General features: G+C 39.8%; 1 protein-coding gene and 1 long non-coding RNA gene across 27 annotated transcripts in view, besides 6 other annotated features; one reads left to right on the forward strand and one right to left on the reverse strand.

Moving 5' to 3' along the window:
• Positions 1 to 1,206: 1,206 nt before the first annotated feature.
• On the reverse strand, positions 1,207 to 3,790 carry LOC124907766 (uncharacterized). The gene is made up of 2 exons (XR_007086315.1): positions 3,707 to 3,790; positions 1,207 to 3,357 (listed from the first exon to the last, which is right to left on the reverse strand). It is a non-coding gene; the product is annotated as an uncharacterized LOC124907766 (long non-coding RNA).
• Positions 3,233 to 3,472: an enhancer, noted in NCBI's record as "active region_15744". NCBI's record gives its function as "activates an Ori minimal core promoter by ATAC-STARR-seq in GM12878 lymphoblastoid cells {active_cell/tissue: GM12878}" and the evidence as "EXISTENCE:reporter gene assay evidence [ECO:0000049][PMID:35858748]".
• FOXN2 (forkhead box N2) overlaps positions 3,252 to 15,270 on the forward strand; it is a 65,637-nt gene continuing 53,618 nt past the window's right edge. For 12 of the 26 annotated variants that reach the window (NR_164686.1, NR_164691.1, XM_047444105.1 and 9 more), the window contains exon 1: positions 4,275 to 4,407. The gene's annotated coding sequence lies outside the window, so the exon portion shown is untranslated. Of the gene's footprint in view, positions 4,095 to 4,274; positions 5,572 to 15,270 lie in introns of those variants that run through there. The other 14 variants (XM_047444108.1, NM_001375451.1, NM_001375449.1 and 11 more) reach the window with 5 other exon arrangements.
• Positions 3,713 to 4,632: a silencer, noted in NCBI's record as "silent region_11476". NCBI's record gives its function as "represses an Ori minimal core promoter by ATAC-STARR-seq in GM12878 lymphoblastoid cells {active_cell/tissue: GM12878}" and the evidence as "EXISTENCE:reporter gene assay evidence [ECO:0000049][PMID:35858748]".
• Positions 3,713 to 5,060: a biological region, named in NCBI's record as "H3K27ac hESC enhancer GRCh37_chr2:48541778-48542606".
• Positions 4,232 to 5,060: an enhancer, noted in NCBI's record as "H3K27ac hESC enhancer chr2:48541778-48542606 (GRCh37/hg19 assembly coordinates)". NCBI's record gives its function as "activates a minimal SCP1, AML or CMV promoter by ChIP-STARR-seq in naive and primed H9 embryonic stem cells {active_cell/tissue: H9 hESC(naive and primed)}" and the evidence as "EXISTENCE:reporter gene assay evidence [ECO:0000049][PMID:30033119]".
• Positions 4,863 to 4,992: a silencer, noted in NCBI's record as "silent region_11477". NCBI's record gives its function as "represses an Ori minimal core promoter by ATAC-STARR-seq in GM12878 lymphoblastoid cells {active_cell/tissue: GM12878}" and the evidence as "EXISTENCE:reporter gene assay evidence [ECO:0000049][PMID:35858748]".
• Positions 5,163 to 5,212: an enhancer, noted in NCBI's record as "active region_15745". NCBI's record gives its function as "activates an Ori minimal core promoter by ATAC-STARR-seq in GM12878 lymphoblastoid cells {active_cell/tissue: GM12878}" and the evidence as "EXISTENCE:reporter gene assay evidence [ECO:0000049][PMID:35858748]".

Consider the following 15,270-nt stretch of genomic DNA (forward strand, 5'->3'; position numbering starts at 1 on the left):
AAAAAATATTTGTTTCATCCCTTTAAAGTTGTCATTCCATCATTTTCTGGCTTCAGCTATTTCTGTTAAAAAGTCAACTGCAAGTCTAATTTTCTTTTTTTTAAGTCCTCTCTTTTCTCTGGCTGCTCTTAAAGATTTTTCTTCTTGTCTTCAGATTTTAGCAAGTTTTTCATGATGTGTCTATATATCAGCTGTGTGGATTAAAAAAATATCCTGATGGAGATTCATTGGTTCAAATATTATTTAAGCTGAATACCTTTTCCCTTCCTTTTGGAATGTCATTTATGTTCATATTAAACTTCCTAACTCTATCTTCTATGTGTTCTATATTTTCCATCTTTTTTCCTTTTTGTGCTTCATTCTGAATAGTTTCTTCTGACTTACCTTCTAGTTCACTAATTCTATCTTTATCTGTGCCTAATATGCTCTTAAACCCATCATTGAGTCTTTATTTTCAGTTAGTAAATTTTTTTGTTCCAAAATTTTCATCTGGCTCTTTTTTCAAGTTTCTAGTTGTCTGCCCACATATTTAATCTTGTGTTTGATTTATTTGAACATAGTAGGCATTGTTATTTTTAAATCTGTACCTGATAATTTCATTACCTGACCCCTGTTGGGTCTGTTTTTGTTCTCTGTTGTTTCTGCTATATTTTTCTAATTTCCTTAGGTAACTGATTTTTAAAAATTGTGTACGAGGCACTGTGATTTCAAAATTATCTGTAGAAATTATTTGAGGCCTAGAATGATATAGTTTCACTCCAGAAAGGATTTTAGTTTGCTTCTGCCAAGTGCTTGTGGGCATGAGCTCAAAGGAATTATCCTAATCCAGTTTCAAGGTTGAGATGATCTGAAACTGAGCTACAGACCTTTTACTTTTATGATGGAGCTCTTTGAATTCCTAGTCCAAAGCAAGGGGCCTTCAACAGAGTTCATCTCTTTCTCTCTTAGTATGCCCTGAACTCAAATCTCTGTCCCCCATTCCTGCTCATCCTCTCAGCAGCCCTCTACGGAATTGACCTCCATCATTCCCCAGATCATGGCCTGGTAATTCCTCATTAACTTTTTAGCTTTCTCATGCCTTCAAGCTGATATCTTTCATATTTTGTTGAAGATTGATCCAAATTACTGTTAATACCAAGGCATACAAAAATGTAGATATCATTAAATATAGGTAGTTGCTTTTAAAAAATGCATTGAAAATGATCCTTCAGGAAAAAAAAATCAGACTTTTATTCATAATTCTAACCTTTTAGCCCAAGTGGCAGACCAGTATTTAGGAATATTATATACTAGTCCTGGTATTGTAAAATTTGAGATTAGTTACTTATTTTATTGACAAACATTATTGAACATCACCACTGTACCTGAAGCTCTTCTTAGAAATTAGATTATAGAAAAACTTGGTTCTTGACCTCAAGGGGCTTGAAGTCTAGACTCCTTATTGACAAACTGGTTATTTTTAGAATCATCAATTCATGATCAAAAAGTCTTTTGTTAAATTTATGTAGCATTATACAATGATAAATACATTTAAAACACAAACAAATATTTGAGCTTCTATCACTTTTTAGCCTAAGCATGGGAGCATTTTAAACAATATATTTTCTAATGCATGTGTCTTCCAGTAAAGTTTATCACTGAATATGTTTCTTGGAAATATTTTGGAGACAGAAGAATAGTAAGCTTCACAAGAGATCTTAAAGCCAGGATCATCTTTTTCCTAGAGTTCACTTCTTGTTTCCTAGCCTTTTTACTGTTGCAAACTCCTGGGAAAAGCTATTCACTCTGAATCATCATTATCTTTAATCAGGGCTTTTCCTTGGCAGATGTTCAAAGTCCTCTAACACAACCTGCAGGTATACAGGTATCCCTGGACTGTAAACTAAGGGCATAACAGATTTGCTGAGACCTCAGCCTTACTCACAAATTTTATTTAAATATGCCCAGACTTTCTGGGTTGAATCAGTCGGTAAGAGGATTAGGAGAGGCAATTTAGAGAATGAGGGTGCAGTAGATTCATCATTTGATCTGGGACAAATTACATAACTTTTCTGGATTTGTTTTCTCATGATAGATTGAGTTCCTGGATGATACATCTCTGAAGTATCGTCCAGCTCTCAAATTCTGTGATCCTTCTACAGTTAAACAGGACTGCTTAGCCACCTGATTTTAAAATAGATGGACGGCACGGCGCGGTGGTTCACGCCTGTAATCCCAGCACTTTGGGAGGCTGAGACAGGGAGATCACCTGAGCACAGGAGTTTGAGACCAGCCTTGCCAATACAGTGAAATCCTATCTCTACTAAAATTACAAAAATTAGCTGGGCATGTTGGCGCACGCTGTAATCCCAGCTACTCCGGACGCTGGGGCATGAGAATCACTTGAACCCGGGTGGCGGAGGTTGCAGTGAGCCGAGATTGCGCCACCGCACTCCAGCCTGGGCGACAGAGCGAGACTCTGTCTCAAAAAAATAAAAAATAAAAATAATAAATAAATACATAGATGGAGTAAGAGCAATGAGGAGAAAGATAATTAAAGTTCAATATATCAAGTAAGATATTAGTAAAATAATTTGTAAGAAGATTAACATATATTATGTTAGTAGCCACCACAACAATGGCTGGCAGAGATAAAACAAGACTGAGGTGTGAGGAGGCTATGGCTCCTTTGTGGCTCCATCTTCTTTCAATCTTCCCTTCGTTCTTTCCCCTGCTCCCTCTCTACTACACCCTCGTTCCAAGAATTTCCTTCAGTATGTCCATATGAGTGGGCAACAGTGATTGCTCCGAAGGGAGAAGTCACAGCAACTCCTGTTCCAATTGAAGCACACTGTACATTTGCCTTGTGGCCTCCGAATGTAGCTGTGAGGCCCTCCAGGACAGTGCAAGAAAGACAAATGAAACTGGTAGATGACTAAACAAGTTATATAAATGCAGCGTTCCATCTGTGGAATGACGGGATCAAATGTTTATATTTTAAAAATATATTCTGATGCCCATAATTCTTCTGCAGCTATCAGCCCCACAGCCTGACTTGTTTTATTGTCAGCAGGTAGCTTGTTTCACACACAGCTCACCTTCTACTCAGAGCCTGGACACACAGTGAACATGCTCAGTCAGTATCCGGGCTTCGTATACCTTTTCTTTTAGTCTACTCAACACCTTTGTGAGATAGGTATCACTACTCTAGTTTTTGAAGATATTGATAGAGAAACTCAGAGATTTAATTATCAGGATCATATTCGTAGCAAACTAGAGCCTTAGTGCTGCCACTTCTCATACCTTTGACGGGTCATTTTTCTAAGTCTCAGTTTCCATATCTGTAAAGTTTCCACTTCTAAGCCTCCGTTTCCGTATCTGTAAAGTTTCCATGAGTTAGATAGGGTTCTCAGATTTAGTAAAACGAACCAAAACAAACAGGAAGTATAACCCAAACGGGATATTCTTATATTTTTAAAAAAAATCTCCATTTTTCTGAAATTCAGGTTTAAATGAGCTCTCCTGTATTTCGTGTGGCAAAGCTATGTTATTATTATGGATATGACAATGGATGTGAAGTCCTTAGCTTCTGTAAATCCTATGCACATTAAATTTTGGATTTGATCCGTAAGTCTTTTTTTCCCTACTGCAAACACAGTGACTTGTTTCCACAGAACATTTCAGTCAAGCCAGAGTAACACTACTTTAAGTTACAGCAATGCTTTACCGTTCCTAAAGCGCTTTCAAAGCCCAGGCAATGGCGGAAGGTCTTGCGGAAACCCACATAACGTGGGGTGTCGAGGAAGGTCTCCTCAGCCCGGGCACAGGCACCGAGGGCCGTACTGCCCTGCGGCAGCCTAGCCCCGCCCCCGCGCCTCCTCGACCACTCAGCGGCCGCGCCGCGCCTCCGCCGCACTCCTATAGGTCCTTCCTCGGACATGCGAGGCCTTTGCATTTTCCCGCTTTCCCCTGCCCTGCTCAGCCCTAAACCCGCACCGGCCTACAGCGCCTCCACCCTGCTTTCCGTGTGAGCCCCGCCCTTCCGGACCCTGCATTTCACCCCCACCCCAGCCGCCGTGCCAGGCAGCCAGCCGGAACCCAGGCCCCTCCCTTCGGTAGGAGGTGGGCGGGAACCGGGAGGGGCCGGCCGAGCCCCCTTCCTCGGGGTCGCGGGAGGCGGGACTGGAGGGAGGGGTGGGGCTAATCGCCTTGGCGCCGCGTTGCCATGGCAGCGGGGAAGGGGAGGGAGGGGGAGGAAGCGAGCGGGAGGGGGATGTGGTGCTGCCGGGGCCGCCACTGCAGCTGCTGCTGCCTGCTGGTTGCCGCGTCTTCCCGGAGGCGACTGCTGGAAGCTGCAGGGAACAGCTGCGGTGCTCTGCCATATTGTGTCTTCCCCGGCCGGTCCCTCGCCTCCCGGCCGAGCTGACGGTGAGTCCCGGGCGGAGCGGTCCCCTCCAGGGTCGGCGCTCCCCGCCCCAGCCCGCGGCGCAGCTCCCGGGCGCGGAGGCAGCGCGAGCGACCCGCGCCAGGCGTGGGGCGCGGAGGCGGCTGTCCCGTGACGCGCCCGGACATTTTTGTCCAGTGAGGAATTTGCGCCGGCGCGGGGGTGTCCCCGGCGCGCGTATCGGGTGGTGTGTGGGCTCCGGGGGATGTCGAACTGAGGGGAGTGTGGCTTGTGAGGAGTTAGGAGTTTTTCCTGAGAGGTAATGACCGCCCGGGAGGGGCTGTCGCGCGGCGGAAACCGCGGCGAGGGGTGTCGTCTCTCCGGGAAGGCGTGGAGGGGGCCCCAAGGACCCTCAGGGCTCGGCTCGGGGCTGGAATCTGCTGTTAGGGAAGTACCCCAAGCACCTCGGAGCCTTTGCAACGCCCCCTCCTCTGGCTTGAAGTGGAGCGAGACATGTCGGGCTCGGAGTCCTCGTCCGGCCCCAGTTGGGACTGGCTGGGCCCCGCCAAGTAGTGCACGGGGAGGTGCCGGGGGCGGCCGGGCGTTGTGGTGGGCAGAGGCGGGTCCCGGGTGTGTGTGGGAGCGACCCCGGCACCCTCTCGCCCCTCCACCGCCTCGAGGGGGCCTCAGAGGGTGGCTGTCTTGGGAGCTACTGTTTCAGCGCTGCAATATGGACACTTCCTGTTCGCCGCCTCCTTTGGGGCCGTGGTTACCTTTGCCTTTTAGTCCTCTTTCCTGGCAAGGTGAGAGGTCTGCGGTGGAAGAGGCCTTCAGCCTTTCAAGTTTGCCCCACTGCAGCAGCAGCCTGTGTGGAACCCGGCAGGACGGTGGTAGTTAGCGGAAAGCAGCCCATGTGCTCCGTGCTCCATCCTCCACTACTTAACTCCACCCCCTTTTGCACCTTTGCAAAATGCCTCTTTTTCCACTGCATCTCTCGGGAGTTGGGGTGTCTGCTTCGCTGACGACCCACACTCTCGCAGTGTTCTTGCACTGGATTTCTGCTTTAAAGTCTTTTTACAGCAGTCTCTGAACTTCATTTTCTCCCTACTGGGAAAAAAGAGTTTTAGCGTGCAAAGAAATGACCACAGACTTTCTTTCTCCTACCCCAACTCCGAGGTGAGGGGAGGAGGGCAGTTAAGTATTTACAGGTTAGTTGAAGTTGTTTCTCCTATCTTTTTTCTGATTGTGACAGCCACGTGGCCGGCTGAGTGTAATAGAGTGCGCTAGCGGCACTAGGGGCTGAGGTTTCTCTGGTAGCCAGGGGCTTTGTAACTGTGCTGTCGCCTCGCATGTACATTTATCTTGGTGGGAGAAGCTGAACCATTCATGCCTGTACCTGTTCCATCCGAATCTTAAGACTTACCTCTGTTACCTTGCAGTTCTCCTAAGGTGTATACCGACGTTTTTTGCCGTTCTCTGCTGTTTTGTTGATCCATCTTTAAAACCTCAGCATTATTAGGTACCATCATAGAGTGATGGGGAATAATAGAGTAGTGCATTATGGAGTTTGCCAACTTTGGGAAAAAATATTACTTGAATTTCAAAACCATTAATGAGAGATTCTAATGCAATCAGAAGTAATTGCATTATCTGGATTTCTTTTTGATAGTTTTAGAAAAATCTATTTTTTTCTTTTTACATAAAAATTGTGATCTAAACATACGTAAATAAAATTACCAGTGAAAATACTTTTTTAGGGATGAAGTAGTGATTTGATTTGTGTATATGTGTGCTTTGTAAAGCTTTTTTTGAAAAATGTGAAGTTAATATGAACGTTAACATGAACAGATTTTAAGAGAATGAAATATAATTTTTAGAATATATAAAAGTAGAAGGTCAAAGAGTTGAAGATAAAAAATGAACTTTTGGAGAGTTTGGAAAATTTTTGAATTTAAGGACAATCCTTGTTTACTAATGCATCGTTTCATTTTGTGAATGCTTTGGTAGGTTTGAATTATTTCTGTATTGTATGTTTTTATTTGAATCAATTTTACTGGAAGAATGTTAAACCACAGGAACCATTTAAAATCTGCACAAGAACTGTATAGAGAAGTTACAGCAACACCATTTTATTGGAATTTTAATTACCCCATAACAATGGTGCTCAATCAGAAAAGTTAAATAAAGATATTGAAGTGGTATCTAGGCCTTAGGGCAGAAAAGACAATACAATTGAGAAATGAGTATATATGCTAACCACTGAGAGCAATTTTTAGTTGAGAAAGAAAAGTAAATGAGGTCATAAAATACTTATATAAGGCTAAGGCAGGAGGCTCTCCTGAGATCAGGAGTTCAAGTCCAGCCTGGGCAGTGTAGCCAGACTCCCATCCCTTGAAAAAAGGATTGCTCAACTCGTGCCTGTAATCCCAGCACTTTGGGAGGCTGAGGTGGGAGGATCACCTGAGGTTAGGAGTTTGAGACCAGCCTGGCCAACGTGGCAAAACCCCATCTCTACCAAAAATACAAAAATTAGCTGGGCCTCGTGGGGCATGCCTGTAGTCCCAGCTACTCGTGAGGCTGAGGCAGGAGAATCGCTTGAACCTAGGAGGTGAAGGTTGTAGTGAGTTGAGATCATGCCACTGCACTCCAGCCTGGGCAACGGGGCAAAACTCTGTCTCAAAAAAAAAAAATTTTTTTTTTGAAGGGTTGAGAACAAAGATTTGATGCTTTGGGAAACTAACATTTAAGGAGCATTTGGTTTGGTCACATGTGACTTCAAAATTAATACTACAGATGTGTACAATGCCTATAGCCTATAGTATTGCTTTTTTTTTTTTTTTTTTTTTTTTTTTTTTGGTGGAGTCTGGCAGCCTTTCTCCCAGGCTGGAGTGCAGTGGCGCTATCTTGGCTCACTGCAACCTCCACCTCCCGGGTTCAAGTGATTCTCCTGTCTCAGCCTCTGGAGTAGCTGGGGTTACAGGCCCCTGCCACCAAGCCTGGCTTATTTTTGTATTTTTAGTAGAGACGGAGTTTTACCATGTTGGCCAGGCTGCTCTAGAACTCCTGACCTCAGGTATCCGCCTGCCTCAGCCTCCCAAAGTGCTGGGATTACAGGCGGGAACCACCACGCCCGGCTTATAGTATTGTTTTATTAATAATTTTATATCCTCTAAATGAGAAGGCTATCCCTGTCCTGCCACTAATATAAAGGGATCAAAAGAATGTTTATTATTATTTGCTTCTAAGGGATTTTGATCCATATATACTTTATTTCCCTTACCCTAACTTTTCTATTTAAATAAACTTTTTATTTTAGAATAGTTTTATAGTTACAGAAAAGTTGCAAGCTAGTATACAGAGTATACCTCACCCAGTTTCTCCTGTTCAATTTCCTACATTACAATGGTACATTTGTCACAATTAAGGAAACAAAATTGTTACAGTACTATTAACTACATACTTTATTCCTATTTCGCTAATTTTTCCCTAATGTCTTTTTTTTGTTCCAGAATTTCACTTTCTATGACTTCTCTTTGTTTTGATGACTATGACAATTTTAAGAAGTGCTTGTCAGACATTTTATAGAATATCCCTCAATTGAGATTTATCTGGTATTTTTCTGATGATTAGACTGGGATTATGAGTTTTAGGGAGGAAGATAACAGAGATGAATTGCCAGTCTCATCACATCATATCAAGGATACAAACTAACGACATGATAAAACTGATGACGCTTACCTTGATCAGGTGGTTGAGGTCTTTGTGGAGTTTCGCCCACTTTCCTGCCTCCTTCCGATCTCTACTCTTTTGGAAGCAAGTCACTAAGTACATGCCATACTCAAAAACCTTAACCTAATTTTGATTCATGTATTTGTAATTTCCCTCGACCTAATTTTCCTTTCTATAAACGAATACTTAAACTTGGACAGATATTTATTTAGTATCTATTGTATTTAGGTGCTAAGAATACAGTGGTGAGCCAGAGAGACATTTGTTCTGGAGTCTGCCTGATTTAAGTATCACATAGGATGTATCTCCTCACCTTAGGTCTTGATTTCGTTAACAGTTTATAAACATAAAATTACTGAAGCCCTGAAAGGCTAAATAATAAATAAAAGCTTGAGTAAACATTTAGAATATATGTTATTAGCATAAAGTTTAAATATATGTACCATAAAAATAGCCATCTCTTTGCTCCCAACACAGATAATGGAAAATTACTTTGATTCTTCCCGAGTAGATACATTACTGTTAAATCCCTGGGATAGTTTAATTACTGTTAACTATCTTCCTATCTTAAAAATGTTTACAGGTGTTAGAAGAAAATTCTTGCCTTCTTGCTAGTGTTTTTACAGGTATTGGTGCTTCTGCCACTCAAAAGCCTTTTTTTTTTTTCTGAGAAGTGCTTTGAAAGGTGTGTTGGAGAAAATACATGGGGAAAATAACAGGGACCCTGGTCTCTGTGAGAAGCCATGCTTACATATTTATGGAAAAAAAAATGAGACTGAGGAGATAAAAAACATTAATCAAAGTTTTCAAAGTGATAATAAACGTTTTTGGAGGGAATTTACTGTATATTTAATAGAAGAGTAGAAGAGTGCTGCCATCCTAACATTGGGAATGTTACTGGGAATGTTTTTAACCAAATAATACCAATTTTATTGGAGAATAAAATTTTATTAAAGACTTATTGAGTAAAGATTTCAGTTAATATTTTTCTGGTAAACTGGGTTAACTACAAAACACTCTTAATTTGAACTTTTAATTGAAATTCTTTCTAAAATATGTCATTAATACACTTTAAATTGTATAGCCCACTGAACAGAATTTTCATATATTTAAATTCTTTTTTTTTTTTTTTGAGACAGGGTCACACTCAACCCTGCTGGAGTGCAGTGGTAACAATCACAGTGCACTGCAAGCTCCACCTCTTAGGCTCAAGTGATCCTCCTGCCTCAACCTACCAAGTAGCTGGGACCACAGGGGCGCTCCACCACCCCTGGCTAATTTTTTAATTTTTTTTTTTTTTTTTTTTTTTTTTGGTAGAGGGGAGATCTGACTATGTTGCCCAGGCTCGTCTCAAACTCCTGGGCTCAAGGGATCCTCCTACCTCAGCCTCCCAAAGCGCTGGGATTTTAGGCATGAGCCACCTCACCTGGCCAATCTTTAAATTAAATTTTGCATTATACAGGGTTAGTGTGGTTATTCTGGGTTTTATATGTAACCTTGGAGATAGAGAATTGAGGAAATTGACACATTTATATCTTTGTAGTTTGTTTCTTTTTCTTAAAAGAGGAAATACAGAAAAAAAGGGGAAGAGGTTTCTTATAATTAAGATTTTACTGGTCCTTTTGACTGCACCATGCCTTTGTCCAACCCTTCCAACCTTAAAAATTCAGTTTATATACTACCTCTTTCTATGCTGATTGAAGAATTATTAATAATCATAGCAACAACTGCAGTCTTTATTGTGTTTACTATGTATTGGCATAGTTATACTAGACATATGAGTGTATAATTTAATTTTTTTTTTATTTTGAGATGGAGTTGTGCTCTGTCGCCCATGTTGGAGTGCAGTGGCTCCATCTCAGCTTACTGCAACCTCTGTCTCCCGGGTTCAAGCAGTTCTCCAGCCTCAGCCTCCCGAATAGCTAGGACTACAGGCACACACCACCGCGCCTGGCTAATTTTTGTATTTTTAGTAGAGACAAGGTTTCACCATGTTGGCCAGGCTGGTCTTGAACCCTGACCTCAAGTGATCTGCCCACCTCGGCCTCCCAAAGTGCTGGAATTACAGGTGTGAGCCACTGCACCTGGCCATAATTTAATTTTCAATAATGCCGTAAGGAGTGTCATAGTCTCATAAACAGATAATGAGAAATTGTGTAAATGTAATACTGGGTATTTACCCAAATCTCTCAGACTTGAAAAAAATCATTAATCTTTGTACTACAATCTGAAGTCTTTAAAAAATGAATATTTGTTAGGATGAGATGCTTACATCTTGATCTGTTCCTAAGGAGTAGGGAAGAATACAAGGTAGGGAGAGAAACTAATATTTATAGAATGCTTACTCTGTGGCAGGAATGTTGCTACTTTATTGTTATAGCAAGTTAAGTAAGTGGTATTATTTCCTGGGACTCAAGGAGGTTCAGTCATTTGTCAGAGATTGCCTAAGTATGTTGGTGGCTGGTGGGTCAGTTTGACTTGAGAGACTTACTCTTTCACTTTTCTCTCCTTTTTTTTTTAACTTGCCCCAAAGCAATGAAGATACTGTTTCAGTTTTCTAGTACAGCATCTACTATATTTATTCATTCATTTAAACATTTAAATGTTCACTACATGTTATGGTCTGTAGTAGAGCATAAAAATGAATGTATTGAGTTCTGCCAACAAGGATTTATATTCTAGTGTAGTATTTCTTAAATGGGTGACTGAATTGGGGTGGGAAATTTTGACCAGCTTTTATTAAAAAACAATCTAGGCTGGGCACAGTGGCTCATGCCTGTAATCCCAGCACTTTGGGAGGCCAGGGTGGGCGGATCACGAGGTCAGGAGATCGAGACCGTCTGGCTAACACGGTGAAACCCCGTCTCTACTAAAAATACAAAAAAAATTAGGCGGGCGTGGTGGCGAGTGCCTGTAGTCCCAGCTACTCGGGAGGCTGAGGCAGGAGAATGGCCTGAACCCGGGAGGCAGAGCTTGCAGTGAGCCGAGATTGCCCCACTGCACTCCAGCCTGGGCGACAGAGCAACACTCCATCTCAAAAAAAAAATTTTAGTACATTTTATGTGGTAAGGGTAAAAGTATTATTTCATGAAAATTTTAGTACATTTTATGTGGTAAGGGTAAAAGTATTATTTAGTACATTTTATGTGGTAAGGGTAAAAGTATTATTTAGTACATTTTATGTGGTAAGGGTAAAAGTATTATTTCATGAAATTGTGACCAGCTTTTATTAAAAAAAAATCTAAAAAAATTTTAGTACATTATACATGGTAAGGGTAAAAGTATTATTTCATGAAATGTTTGTTTTAGTTAAATATGTATGTATATTGTGGGTCTCTATGAAAAAAATACATTTCTTATTGTGGGATAACATTGAAAGTGAGAACTACAGGTCTAGTGGCTGAGATAGAACTGTAAGCAAATAATTATACATAATTAGAATAGCAAGTAAGTTCCTTTTTTATTTTGAGATGGAGTCTTGCTTTGTTGCCCAGCCTGGAGCACAGTGGCGTGATCTCGGCTTATTGCAATCTCCGCCTTCGAGGTTCAAGCAATTCTTTCTCAGCCCCTGGAGTAGCTGGGACTACAGGAATGTGCCACCACGCCTAGCTAATTTTTTTGTATTTTTAGTAGAGATGGGGTTTCACCGTGTTGGCCAGGCTGGTCTCGAACTCCTGACCTCAGGTGATCTGCCTGCCCCGGTCTCCCAAAGTGCTGGTATTACAGGTGTGAGCCACTGTGCCTGGGCTAGAGGTAGATTTAAATTAATAGCAGCAGTTTATTTTCCTAAATTCTTTTTTTTTTAATTGTAAAGTGAAACAAATGCAGAAAACCACACAAAACAAATGTGTAACTTAGTGAATTATAAGGCTAGCACCTGTGTAACCCTGTCCTTTAAAAAGTAACCACTGTCCTGGGTTTTCTGAAAATGAATTAAGTTTTTGGTTTTATTACTCAAGTATGTGTCCCTAGATGCTATAGTTAAGCCTGTTTTCTTGCTCATGCTCACGCTCACGCGGATTCTTGCACTCCCCCCTCCTTTTTTTCTTTTTCATTAAGCTTGCTTTCTTTACACCTTCTGTTTCTCTAAGATTTTATCCAATACATTTTTTTCGTAATCCTTTAAGTCTTCATTTCTGAAATGATTTTTTCCCTTTTATTTTAAATTCTTTCTTGAGCTCTATCACCTCATGTCTGAGCTTTTCTAATTCTGATATATTTGATATATATATAATACAATATATATTTCTGATATATTTGATATATATAATACAATATATATATCTGATATAGGTATTTCTCATAATTTTTTTAAGTTTACTTTGAAATAGGAGTTCATTTTTATCTCTTTGAGCATCTCTTTCAGACTTGCTTTTATTGTTTATAGGGATGTTATTTTATTGTTTCTTTTTTTTTTTAGTTGTAACTTTGTGTGGGATTCAATCTCTTAAAAGTATGAATGCTTTCATTTATACTGTGCTAGGAATAAGATGCATGTAAGTAAATAATTGCATTATGAGACATATTCTTCTAAACATACATTCAAGGGTATTATGAGAACACAGAGTAGGAGCTTACTTTCCCCAAAGTGTAGGGATTGGATGAGGTGGACTTTAGTCATGATGGAGGTTTTTTATTGGTGTATCAATATTTTTAAATATTCTGTTTTTTTTTTATAACTGATATATTTTTGAGGGTACATGTGATATTTTGGTACATGTTTACAACGTGTAATGATCAAATTAAGATAATTAGAATATCTGTCACCTGAAACGTCATGGTAGTTCTGATTTTAGTTTTTGAGGAAACTCGATACCGTTTTTCATAATGGCTGTTACTTTACATTCCCACCAACAGTGTATGCGCATTCCCCCTTTCTCCACATCCTTGCCAGCATTGTTAATTTTTGTCTTTTTGTTAAATAGCTCTTCTGACTGGTGTAAGATGGTATCTCATTGTAGTTTTAATTTGCATTTATCTGATGATTAGTGATGTTGAGCATTTTTTTCATGTTGGTTGGCTGCCTTTATGTCTTGAAAAGTTACTGATCATGCTCTTTGCCCGCTTTTTGATAGAGTTGTGTTTTTCTTGTTGAGTTGTTTGAGTGCCTTGTAGGTTCTGGATATTAGTCGTTTGTCACATGTATAGTTTGCAAATATTTTCTCCCATTCCACATGTGGGTTCTCTTTATTGATTATTTCTTTTACTGTGCAGAAGCTTTTTAGCTGATTAAGGTCTCATTTGTCTGTTTTTGGTTTTGTTGCAGTTGCTTTTGAGTTCTTAGTCATAAATTCTTGTTCAGGCCAATGTTCAGAAGAGTTTTTTCTCGGTTTTCTTCTAGAATTTTTATAGTATAGTTTCAGGTCTTACATTTAAGTCTTTTCTGTAGCTAATTTTTGTATATGGTGAGAGATGGGTCCAGTTTCATTCTTCTGCATATGGCTATCCAATTTAGTAGTGCTTTTTATACAAATGAATTTACTGTTGACTTCCTTCAATTACTACTTTGAAATACTGTTCAGATGGAATTAAAATAATATTTTAAAAATTTTCTTTTGCTATACTATTGTCATATGTCATCAACTATCTCTTAAGTAGAGACCTGAAATTTAGAAAGTGAAAAGGTCACAAAGTAGAATGGAAAACATAGTATAACGCATAGTATTCTGTACGTGAATGACAAATTGCTCAGTAATTTTTTTTTTTTTTTTTTGTGACAGAGTTTCGCTCTGTCTCCCAGGCCTGGAGTACAGTGGCACAATCTTGCTCACTGCAACCTCCTCCTCCTGGGTTCAAGTGAGTCTCCTGCCCCAGCCTCCCAAGTAGCTGGGATTACAGGCACCTACCACTTTGCCTGGCTAATTTTTGTATTTTTAGTAGAGACGGGTTTTGCCATTTTGGCCAGGCAGGTCTCGAACTCCTGACCTCAAGTGATTTGCCTGCCTTGGCCTCCCAAAGTGCTTGGACCAGTAAATATTTTAATGAATATCATATTTCATCCTTCAAATTTTTTTTTGTTTCATGTAGTTTGATTAAAATGACTTCTTTGTTTAGTTAAAACAAAACTTGATGTGGTATGATTTGGGTATAATTTTCCCTTTGTACTTCTATTCAAATTGGCAGCAAGTTAGAGCCAGGTTGTGCTTGCTTTTGAAGTACTCTGCTTAGGGATATTGAGTCCATTGTTTTCTATTTTCTTTCTTTGGTTAACGATACTTTTGACTTGGTGTGTATTAAGTATCTTATAAAATAACTTTAGTGTTTATGAAGTGATCTCATGTCTATTGTTTATTTTGGTCTCTTAACATAAATAACTACAGTAAAAAAGAGGAAATGTAAATGCAGTTGGAACACGGAGAGATTGAAAGACTCTAACAGAAAAAAGTTGGGGTGGGAATTATGTGGAGGAGTTGTCGTTAAATTAGGTCTTAAATATTAGGGTTTGACTGAATGATGAGAGGGAAGGTAGACAATCCAGTTGTTAGAATATCAAAAGCAAGCATATAGAGAAATGTATTTGAACAGGATTAGTATAGTTTGGACTGACTTCTAATACAGAAGCATTAGCTTGAGGATGTAGATACTGAATCAGTTATTGATTTTTGTTTGTTTGTTTGTTTTTGGTCTTTTGTACTTAAAAAGCAATCTAGGCAGGATGTCAGGCTAGTGTAGCAGTGAATAGTGTGAATTCTGGAGCCAGTACTTCCAGTTTGGAGCACACCGTTTAATCCTTCTCTATGTGTGTTTCTGCATATAAAATAGACACTAATAATGGCAACTACTTGATAGGGTTGTTATGAATAAGATTAAAAGAGTTAATACTAGTAAAGTATTTACAACAATACCTGTTACCAATAAGCATTCAATGAGTTTTTTAAATTTATGAAAGTACTAGCTCTTTCATTTTATGTGTGTGTGTGTATTTGTAATGTATACATACATGTGTGAGTATATATGGAATATAATGTGAGTGTATGTGGAATAAATACCGAAAGGAAATGTAGATCTCACATGTATGTATCTATAGGAAAGGTAGTAATATTTGAATTTCAGTTTTGATTAGAATTTAGATTATTATAATAAAGTCTAACATCTCATTTTACAGATGGAAAAATTATGTACTAGCAGAACTAGAACCAAGATTTGCCAGACAACAAATATTTGAGCAGTAAACAAAA

The sequence above is a fragment of the Homo sapiens genome, chromosome 2 (assembly GCF_000001405.40).
Source record: "Homo sapiens chromosome 2, GRCh38.p14 Primary Assembly".
Classification (NCBI taxonomy): Eukaryota; Metazoa; Chordata; class Mammalia; order Primates; family Hominidae; genus Homo; species Homo sapiens.